This window comes from Homo sapiens, chromosome 5, assembly GCF_000001405.40.
Source record: "Homo sapiens chromosome 5, GRCh38.p14 Primary Assembly".
Classification (NCBI taxonomy): Eukaryota; Metazoa; Chordata; class Mammalia; order Primates; family Hominidae; genus Homo; species Homo sapiens.
The window spans coordinates 63,679,745-63,691,303 of NC_000005.10; the positions used below are offsets into that span (position 1 = coordinate 63,679,745).

The window sequence follows — 11,559 nt, forward strand, 5'->3', positions numbered from 1 at the left end:
GTTTATTTGCGTAGAGGTGTTTGTAGTATTCTCTGATGGTAGTTTGTATTTCTATGGGATCATTGGTGATATCCCCTTTATCATTTTTTATTGCTTCTATTTGATTCTTCTCTCTTTTATTCTTTATTAATCTTGCTAGCGGTCTATCAATTTTGTTGATCCTTTCAAAAAACCAGCTCCTGGATTCATTAATTTTTTGAAGGGTTTTTTGTGTCTCTATTTCCTTTAGTTCTGCTCTGATTTTAGTTATTTCTTGCCTTCTGCTAGCTTTTGAAGGTGTTTGCTCTTGTTTTTCTAGTTCTTTTAATTGTGATGTTAGGGTGTCAATTTTGGATCTTTCCTGCTTTCTCTTGTGGGCATTTAGTGCTATAAATTTCCCTCTACACACTGCTTTGAATGTGTCCCAGAGATTCTGGTATGTTGTGTCTTTGTTCTCATTGGTTTCAAAGAACATCTTTATTTCTGCCTTCATTTTGTTATGTACCCAATAGTCATTCAGGAGCAGGTTGTTCAGTTTCCATGTATTTGAGTGGTTTTGAGTGAGTTTCTTAATCCTGAGTTCTAGTTTGATTGCACTGTGGTCTGATAGACAGTTTGTTATAATTTCTGTTCTTTTACATTTGCTGAGGAGAGCTTTACTTCCAACTTTGTGGTCAATTTTGGAATAAGTGTGGTGTGGTGCTGAAAAGAATGTATATTCTGTTGATTTGGGGTGGAGAGTTCTGTAGATATCTATTAGGTCTGCTTGGTGCAGAGCTGAGTTCAATTCCTGGGTATCCTTGTTAACTTTCTGTCTCTTTGATCTATCTAATGTTGACAGTGGGGTGTTAAAGTCTCCCATTATTAATGTGTGGGAGTCTAAGTCTCTTTGTAGGTCTCTAAGGACTTGCTTTATTAATCTGGGTGCTCCTGTGTTGGGTGCACATATATTTAGGATAGTTAGCTCTTCTTGTTGAATTGATCCCTTTACCATTATGTAATGGCCTTCTTTGTCTCTTTTGATCTTTGTTGGTTTAAAGTCTGTTTTATCAGAGACTAGGATTGCAACCCCTGCCTTTTTTTGTTTTTCATTTGCTTGGTAGATCTTCCTCCATCCTTTTATTTTGAGCCTATGTGTGTCTCTGCATGTGAGATGGGTCTCCTGAATACCGCACACTGATGGGTCTTGACTCTTTATCCAATTTGCCAGTCTGTGTGTTTTAATTGGAGCATTTAGTCCATTTACATTTAAAGTTAATATTGTTATATGTGAATTTGATCCTGTCATTATGAGGTTGGCTGGTTATTTTGCTCTTTAATTGATGCAGTTTCTTCCTAGCCTCGATGGTCTTTACAATTTGGCATGATTTTGCAGTGGCTGGTACCGGTTGTTCCTTTCCATGTTTAGTGCTTCCTTCAGGAGCTCTTTTAGGGCAGGCCTGGTGGTGACAAAATCTCTCAGCATTTGCTTGTCTGTAAAGGATTTTATTTCTCCTTCACTTATGAAGTTTAGTTTGGCTGGATATGAAATTCTGGGTTGAAAATTCTTTTCTTTAAGAATGTTGAATATTGGCCCCCACTCTCTTCTGGCTTGTAGAGTTTCTGCCGAGAGATCAGCTGTTAGTCTGATGGGCTTCCCTTTGTGGGTAACCCGACCTTTCTCTCTGGCTGCCCTTAACATTTTTTCCTTCATTTCAACTTTGGTGAATCTGACAATTATGTGTCTTGGAGTTGGTCTTCTCGAGGAGTATCTTTGTGGCATTCTCTGTATTTCCTGAATCTGAATGTTGACCTGCCTTGCTAGATTGGGGAAGTTCTCCTGGATAATATCCTGCAGAGTGTTTTCCAACTTGGTTCCATTCTCCCCGTCACTTTCAGGTACACCAATCAGACGTAGATTTGGTCTTTTCACATAGTCCCATATGTCTTGGAGGCTTTGTTCGTTTCTTTTTAATCTTTTTTCTGTAAACTTCCCTTCTCGCTTCATTTCATTCATTTCATCTTCCATCACTGATACCCTTTCTTCCAGTTGATCACATCGGCTCCTGAGGCTTCTGAGTTCTTCACGTAGTTCTCGAGCCTTGGCTTTCAGCTCCATCAGCTCCTTTAAGCACTTCTCTGTATTGGTTATTCTAGTTATACGTTTGTCTAAATTTTTTTCAAAGTTTTCAAGTTCTATTCTCTCAAAAAAGATTACCTTAATTAAGTGAGGGTAGGGATTTCCTTTACCCAAGTAGATTTCTTTTTTAGTTGTTCCTAGTGTTTCAAAAATATTAATACTATCAGAAGATAAGCATTCAAGATGGAGAAAGTCCACTTAGCCTAGCTCTACCCATAATTACCACCAAATTCCAGACAAAATTCAAAGGCAGCAACCAGAGGACTCTGAAAATAAATAAAAGCAGGTTGATGGGGACCTTGGATTAGGGAAAGATTTCTTAAAAGGGACACTAAAAGCACAAACTATAACAGAAAAATATATAATTTTGCTTTAGTCAAATTTTAAAATATAAGTATTTTTAAATGTAAGTATTTTAAAATTTGATATACTTAAGTCTTTGATATACTTGATTAAGAAATTAAAAATGCAAGCCCAACTGGGGAGAAATATTCATAATGCATCTGTCTGATAATGGGCTTGCATCCATAATATAAAAATAACTCTTACTAGTTACTAAAACGATGACAAACAACCCAATAAAAATAAGCAGAAGATTTGAATAATTTTCAGAAAAGTAAATCTACAAATGGCAAAATAAGCACATGAAAAGATGCACAACACCATTAGTCATCAGGGAAATGCCCATTAAAACTCTAATGAGATAACACTGCACAATCATTAGAATAGCTAAAAGTTAAACACACACATACAAACACAATATTAAATTCTGGTCAAGATGTGAAGAAACTGGAACTTTCATACACTTTTGAAGAAAGTATAAAATGGTGCAACACCTTTGGAAAACTATTGGACATTTTCTTTAAAAAAATTGAACATATATGTACTAAACAATTCACACTTGGCTGGGCATGGTGGCTCACGCTTGTAATTCCAGCACTTTGGGAGGCCAAGGCAGGTGGGTCACTTGAGGTCAGGAGTTTGAGACCAGCCTGGCCAACATGGTGAAACCCCATCTCTATTAAAAATACAAACATTAGTCAGGCATGGTGGCGGGCGCCTGTAATCCCAGCTACTCGTGAGGCTGAGACGGGAAAATCACTTAAACCTGGGAGGCGGAGGTTGCAGTGAGACAAGATTGTGCCACTGCACTCCAGCCTGGATAATAGAGTGAGACTCCATCTCAAAAAAATAAGTAAATAATAATACACACTTAATACCAAAAGGATAGAAATATGATAAAGAGTCTGTGTGTAAACTGAGATCAAATATACTGTCAGTCTAATTTAATAATAATAAACATAAGTGGCATTCATTACCTAATAGAGAAAATTTAAAAGTACTTCCAGGTTGCCTAGAAGAACAATATCTTCTTAAGCCCGTGTAAGGCTACTTATAGGGTCTCAGTCTTTAATAAACCACTATATTATTTATGCAGTGAATAAATCTGCATTTTGGTATTCCAGTGACTTCCCTAGCTGTTCTTTCCTTCCATTAAGAATAGCTATAGTTAAAAATGTAATTATAAAAACAGTCTTACTCGCATGGTCAACATTTTCTTTCCCCTGGGTATCTCTGAATTCTATTTGCTTCCTTAACTGACAATCATATCTTATGCTATGCTCTTTTGGCATGACAGAGCAAATGCACCTGGGGCGGAGCAAGCTGGGTTTCCTTCTGTACCATGTTTCAAAGGAAAAATTGTCAGTAAAATTCTGACTGCTGAATTTTTGTAACTGGTATCACTCTAAGTTACAGAAAGAACACAAAATGTTTAAACAAATATCATACTGATTGAGTACTGGCAGGTGGGAAAACTTGTAAAAAAATCAATGGGATCTGTAACATTTAGCAAGACTCCATCACCCATTATCATGTCAGTAGAAAATGACTTGCATGATATGGACGCTGTTTGCTAGCTTTGTGAGGACAGTTCTTCTGTACTTGGTGTATGTCCTTGGTAGGACTAATTGTTCTGTTTACAAAAATAAGTACCATTAAAAATAAAAATGTGTTGTCATTGAAAAAAAAACGATTGTCGAGCCAAAATGTACCGACTTGCTTACTTCTACCCTCTAATGTATATTAAAAATTTCAGAGACAACAGCTTGAAGCTTTAAGTTATCATTCTTGTAAAATGTCACACAGATTTTACAGCCTTAGATAAGTTCTTTCAGTAGAATAGTGCTAAGGCTTAGGCATTTCCAGGGAAGCTTACAGTTACCACTTTTTCTTTTCCTTTCTTTTTTTTTTTTTGAGACGGAGTTTCACTCTTTTTGCCCAGGCTGGAGTGCAATGGCGCGATCTTGGCTCACCACAACCTCCTCCACCCGGGTGCAAACTATTCTCCTGCCTCAGCCTCCCAAGTAGCCAGGATTACAGGCATGCGCCACCACGCCCAGCTAATTTTGTATTTTTAGTAGAGACGGGATTTCTCCGTGTTGGTCAGACTGGTCTCAAACTCCCGACCTCAGGTGATCCACCCGCCTCGGCCTCCCAAAGTGCTGGGATTACAGGCGTGAGCCACCGTGCCCAGCCTAGTTACCACTTTTTCAATGGATTGATATGAGTGAGGAGGATTGAAAAATCATAACAAAAACAAAATAATCATAACAAGGAAAGGGGCTTTTCCAATTGATTATGAACAAATTTATAGTGAGAATTAATGTCACAGTATTTTCTTAAAATTATGGTGACCCAAGAATTAATGTGTGCAATATTCAGGTTGTATTTCTATTCTTAGTTTTGTTTCTGTTATGTTGTAGAATTACTATATTTAATCTTTACAAAGAATTCCCCCAAATCTGTAGAATTCTATTCTAGGCACAAAATAAAAGTCATCAATATAATCACACTATGTGCAGCATCTAACTTTAAATGTCTTTGAAATTCATAATTTTACTTCATTATGAGTGAATAGCTACTATAAGCAAAACACTTTAGTGACAAGAAGCTATTTAGGAGCAGGTTCCTGTCTTTAAGGAGTTTACAGTAATGTGTGGAATAACATAGATACACAATAGTTGTGAGGTATAACATTATGCTAAGGAAGTTTATGTGTGCTATGCAGAATTATAGGTCATTTTCTTTCAAAGTAGACAAATGATTATAAGAGCAATCATAGGGGTTGTGCCACTCAAACTTATTCTTATCCAATGTGTAGCATTTTAATGAATAATTTTAGAAATGGAATATATTCCAGGATGAATTAATAGTATAGTAGATCCTTGAAAAACATGAGTTTGAGCTGTGAGGGTCTGCTTACACACAGCTTTTCTTCTGCCTCTGCCACCCCTGAGGCAGCAAAAACCCCCTTCCTCTTCCTTTTCTCCCTCAGCCTACTCAATATGAAGAGTAGAATCAAGACCTTTATGATGATCCATTTCCACTTAATGAATTGTAAATATATTTTCTCGCCCTTATGATTTTTTAATAACATTTTTCTGTAAACTACTTTATTGTAAGAATATACTATATAATACATATAACATACAACATATGTGTTAATTGACTGTTTACGTTATCAGTCAGGCTTCCTGTCAACAGTAGGCTATTAGTAGTGTGAAAGGAACATAAATCTCAGGACCCTAAAATCACTAAGCCAAGGAAAAAGTCAAGCTGGGAAATATATCAGGCAAACCTGCCTCCCAGTTTATTCCAAAACAAGATAGCTACAAAGGTAAGAAGCTACATACCTCCCTCACTTTGCCCACAAGGAAACTTCTTGTGGACAAAGAACAGAACTCACAGTTATCCCTCTGAAGCTAACCTAAGACAAATGCATATCTGATTGCTTCTTCTGCCCTATCATTTACATAAAAATGCATATTCACTGAGCCAGACTAAATTGTATATTCAGTGGAAGGCTGATCTAGGACTCAAAAGAATGCAACCTTTTGTGTCTTATGTACTTCTGACCCAGAAGCCCCCACTTTAAGCTATTCTGCCTTACCTGACCAAACCAATGTAGGTTTTACACATATTGATTGATGTCTCATGATTCCCTAAAATGTATAAAAGCAAGCTGTACCCCGACCACCTTGGGCACATGTTGTCCGGACCTGCTGAGGCTGTGTCACCGGCATGTCCTTAACCTTAGAAAAATAAACTTTCTAAATTGACAGACCTGTCTCAGATATATTGGGTTCACTGTATTCCCGGACAGAAAGAGGTCTGGTGGCTTGTTCTCGCAGTCCAATAATGAGATGCAGACAGACTGGGGAAAAAGAAAGTTTATTTTTGCAACCAGTTACAAGGAGAAGGTCAGAGTAACTCATCAGACCAACGCAGTTACAATATTTTTTCTAGTGCATATACACATTTTAAGCTCTCTGCCTATGTGTGGGAGTGCACCTACAAGCAGGAGTGTTTCTTTCAATCTGTATCTAATCATTAGGGTCTGGGGTCTTAATGGGTTTGTTTTTGCATTCCAGCCATTGTACTTAGTGACCAGTTTCTCCAGTTCTTTAATGTTTAACTTATATATTCATCAGAGTTATAGTAAAGGATTAGTGAAAACTGACTGTTCTGGTTGCTAATGGAAACCTGGCCTGCCACAATCCCCACTGTCAATTTGTACGTGATTTCTAGCATGTTAGTTAATTTTTTCAAGTACTGGTTTGTTAAAAGGCTAGTGCAAAAGTGTAAACTATGACATAGCCGACTAAGGGAAAGTGGGTATGCATTCCCTCCATCTACTTCCTGCTGAAGAGGGTTGTCATCAAGGGGTGCTAGAGTGGAAGATGTCTATCTGGTGCTGGTAATGTTTCTGGCTTTAGAGACTCAAAGGCAGCGCCTGATAAGACATGATCTTGTGAGCCTGAGGAATGTTTTGGAACAGCATATAACAATAATATAGTTCACAACATAGTATTATGCTCATGCCCAGGAAGGCAGCTAGGACAAGAAGAATTTTCTGCCACCAGGAAGGTGTTCTACAAAATCAAGATATTATAAACCTAATTTTTCCTTGTATGTGGGGGATGCACCAAGGCAGCCCCATGGTGCCAGAGAGGGGTAATAGAGCACAGACCCAGCAAGAGTCTTGCTGTAAGCTATTTGCATAACCTTTGCCCATTGTAGGAAAAGGTTAGAGGTACGCAGAAATAACAATGTAAAACAGCAGCAATGTAAAGCAGCAATGTAACAATGTAAAACAATACTTTATCATCTTTTGAACAGAAATCCTAGGCCTTCAAGGGGTTCTGTCTCCCATTTGGCAGCCTTGGTGTCCTGTGTCATGAATGTTTCCTCCGGCAGGAACTTCTTCACGGGCATGTGGTGGATCCATGGCTTGATGCCAGCCAGTTTCATTGCCAAATTGGTAGTCAGCAGCATGTCATGGGGCCCTTTCTATTTCTCCTGTAGCTGCTGACTTGGGCTCATTTCTCTTTATTCTTTCAGCAGCACTTGATCACCAGGCTGGTACAAGTGACACAGTTTCGCTGAGTTTACGATACTCCTGTTGCAAGCAAGCTTATGCAAAACATTAAGTATTTGTCCCAAGTGAGTAGCATAGTGTTTAATAGTTGGCTTTCTATTAAGAGGTACCCAAGTAACCCAAGACAGATTAGCAGCAAAGGGTCTCCCATTTATAATTTTATAGGGATTTAACCTCATCCCACTTCTAGGGGTCACTTACCCAAAGCAGTACAATGCTGAGTACCTGAATCCATTTTAGTTGGCACAGTTTGGCACTGTTTTCGTGTTTGATTCATCCTTTCAGTCTGTCCAGAAGGTTGTGGTTTCCATGCTGTGTGAGTTTCCAATTTACTCCAAGAGCGTTGTTTACTTGGGACAGCTAGCTGCAGGGCTGTAGTAAAGATAATCAGTTCTGCTTTCTGTGCAGAGGTTCCTATTGGTGAAGTCCTTACTTCTATTACCTCTGAAAAGGTTACCACAGCATATGCAGCATTCCTTCTTTCATTGGTTACCAGGCTGCTCCCATCCACAATATCCAGTCTGCCTGTGGAAGGGCTGTGTCCTTTAAGTGAGGGCGACTGGAAAATACCTGGTCAATAATTTCTAAACAGTTATAGGTTCTTTTGGCTCTTTGGTAGAGAGAAGTAATGTAGCTGGGTTTAAGACGCTAGCAGTCTGCAATTTCACTGTGGGATTATCTAAGAGTGTGGCCTGGTATTTGCCCAGCCTGCCCTAGTGTCCACCAATAGCCTCCCTTTTGTTCTAGTAACACTAGCACCTGGCGAGGCACATAGATCATGATAGGCTGTCTCACAGTCAACGTTTCAGCTTCCTTTAATAGCAGGCATGTGGCAGCGACTGCCCTTAAGCAAAGGGGCCAGACTTTGGCCATAGTATGCAGTTGTTTAGAAAAGTAAGCCACTGGGTGCATTATTTATCCTAATTTTTGTGTAAGGACCCCTAGTGCTAGACCCAATCTCTCATGCATGTAAAGTTGAAAGGGCTTGTGAGAATTTGGGAGCCCCAGGGCTAGGGTGGAGGTCAACTTATGTTTTAGTTATTCAAATGTCTGCTGGTGGTTTGTTTTCCAAAGGAGTTGTTGTTAGCTCCCTTCAACAGTTCATATAGTGGTTTTACCAGCAGTCCATAGTTAGGAATCCAGACCCGACAAAGCCCTTGCCATGCCTACAAATCCTCTCAGCTATCTTTTGGTAGTGAATGCTGTGATGGATGTGATTGTGTTTCGCTTTTTCACCTTTAAAACTCTGGTTCCCTTCTGTAAGAGGAAACCAAAATATTCCACAGTTTGTTGGCATATTTGAGCCTTTCCTGATACCCAGAGGTTGCTAGACAGTTGAGAGTTTTAATGGTATTATTCTGACATTCCCATCTTGAAGGGTTAGATATTAGTAAATTATCCACATATTGTAACAGTACCCCATTTTTCAATTGTAAACTCCTTAAATTTTGAGTCAATGCTTCTCCAAATACAGCTGGAGAGTTTTAAAATCCTTGTGGGAGCACAGTCCAATAATAATGAAACCTTGCTGATGCTTCAGGATCTGTTCATTCAGAGGCAAACGACAACTGACTTTCTGTGTCTATGGGTATGCAAAAGAAAGCATATTTCTTTTTTTTTTTTATTTGAAACAGAATTTCACTCTTGTTGCCCAGGATGGAGTGCAATGGCATGATCTCAGCTCACTGTAACCTCCGCCTCCCAGGTTCAAACGGTTCTCCTGCCTCGTCCTTCCAAGTAGCCGGGATTACAGGCGACTGCCACTACACCTGGCTAATTTTTGTATTTTTAGTACAGGGTTTCGCCATGTTGGCCAGGCTGGTCTCAAACTCCTGACCCAAGTGATCCACCCACCTCAGCCTACCAAAGTGTTGGGATTACAGGTGTGAACCACTGTGCCCAGCCAAGAAAGCATATTTCAAATCCAATACTGTAAATCATTTATGATCTCCAGGGAGAGAAATGAACATAACATCCCAGGGTTAGCTACACTGGGATGTATGTCCTCTAAAATATTCCAGTTTAGTTCTGTGCAGGGAATTGCCCCATCAGGATCTGGATGTTCATCATGAAGGTATTGTGCCTCTTCCTTTGCTTCATTTAAAACCAGCCACCACTCATCTGCCATGAGCATGTTTAGAAGAGCCTGCATGCACCTCTGCCCAGGAAGGACAGTGTGCAGCCAATATTTTGGTATTATAAGCCCAATAATATCCCATTGGAGCTCCTTGCTGATTGACTCCTACTGGATATTATCCTAGTGGAATTGCCCATCTCCAGACCTGGGGACTCCCCAGCCAAATTAGTATCTTGCCTAGTCCACGGAGGAAACAATAGCCCTGCTGCCTCCCCGTACTCTGAGGGTGACATTCCCTCTCTTTCCTGAGCTGGGCAGTAGCTACTATGGGGTTCAGGGTATTAACTGTTGGGTTTCAGACGTTTTCTCTTCCTCCCCTGGGGTGTCAGGACAGACCTTCGCAGTGCCTTGCACCATTAACTTATTTCCTTTTTCTTTAGCATCCTTATTATACAGCAACGTAAATATCTGGATGTAAGGTATTTTGCCCCACTTGCCTGACCTCTGACAGAGCAATTTTAATTGATAAATGGTATGAAAATATCAAGATCCAAAAACCCGCCACTGTTCCTCAGACCCCAAAACACATATTGGCCAGGCTGTGTCAAAATAGAAGATTAATTTCTTTCAGTCATGGGTGGTAGATAACCAAAGTGCTTCCAATCTGATAAAAGTCTCCCTAGAAGACTATTTGTAGGTATAGATGCAGTGTTGCCCATACTGAGTATTCTAAACTTAATAAATATCAGACAAACAGAACAAATTTTCAAAAACAAATGTAAATAAATTCCTCAAACAAATGCAAAGCAGGTTATCCCAAGGAGTCTTACTATTTCCTCAGTAGTACCCAAACAAATGGCTACATGAGCCCAAATAGAGGAAATAATAGATTCCTGGCTTAGGATCCAATTTTACTCACCTTTTGAGTGCAACTGCTCCCAATCTCTATTCTTTCCCAGTAATAGAGAGACGGGCAGTCTTTGCAGCCAGAAAGGTCCTCAGGAGAGTCCCCAGGACAAACCATACCAGGCAGCTGCTGGGGGTCACCCAAAGACTACCTCTTTGCGAGCCGCTGGCTGCTGAGCTCTCCTGGGAGAGTTACCAGATTTGCTCCCGGACAGAATGAGGCCTGGCTGCTTGTCCTGGTGATCCAATAATGAGATGCAGGCAGACTGGGAAAGAAGGGAGTTTATTTCTGCAACCAGTTACAAGGAGAAGGTCAGAGTAACTCACCAGACCAACTCAAGGTTAGAAGATTTTTTCTAGTGCTTATATACATCTTAAGCTCCCTGTCTATGAGTGGGAGTGCACCTACAAGCAAGAGTGTTTCATTCAATCTACTTCTAATCTTTAACTAGGGTCTGGGGTCTCAATGGGTTTGTTTTTGCATTCCAGTCCTTGTACTTAGGTACCACCTTCTCCGGTTCTTTAATGTTTAACTTATACATTCATCAGAGTTATAGTAAAGGGTTAGTAGAAACTGACTGTTCTGATTGCTAATGGAAACCTGGCCTGCCACAACAGTAGTTAAGCTGTAGGGGACTTAGAAGTTATACACTGATTTTTGACTACATGAGACTACGTCCCTAATCCCCGTATTGTTCAAGGGTCAACTGTATAAACAAAGAAGTGGGCATGGGGATAAAAGCACATTTCAAAAATGCTGATTCTATCATCAGTTTTTTGGCACTAAATGGTTTACATAGGGAGGTAGCAAGAAAAGAAAAGTGAGTTAGTTCTGCAGGAGAAATCTGATACGTGACCAATCTTTCTAATTTTGAAAGCTATTTAGATCTTTTCAAAAGCAAATATAAAATTATTTGAAAAAATCCTGATAAAGATGCAAGAGGAATCCACATTCTATTTGTGTATAAAAATATTCTATTAAGTGTGTTTTATAGTCTGCCTGAGGAAAAATAAATAGCCCACACATTTCACTTAGGA

General features: G+C 39.5%; 1 long non-coding RNA gene across 4 annotated transcripts; it reads right to left on the bottom strand.

Moving 5' to 3' along the window:
- Positions 1-6,315: 6,315 nt before the first annotated feature.
- Positions 6,316-10,916, bottom strand: LOC107986416 (uncharacterized). Of its 4 annotated transcripts, none has more exons than XR_001742675.2 (3): positions 10,535-10,916; positions 7,764-7,910; positions 6,316-7,573 (listed from the first exon to the last, which is right to left on the bottom strand). It is a non-coding gene; the product is annotated as an uncharacterized LOC107986416 (long non-coding RNA). The 4 variants fall into 4 exon arrangements; XR_001742673.2 differs by having other exon boundaries at positions 6,316-7,519; positions 7,740-7,910; XR_001742674.2 differs by having other exon boundaries at positions 7,740-7,910.
- Between the last annotated feature and the right edge of the window lie 643 nt (positions 10,917-11,559).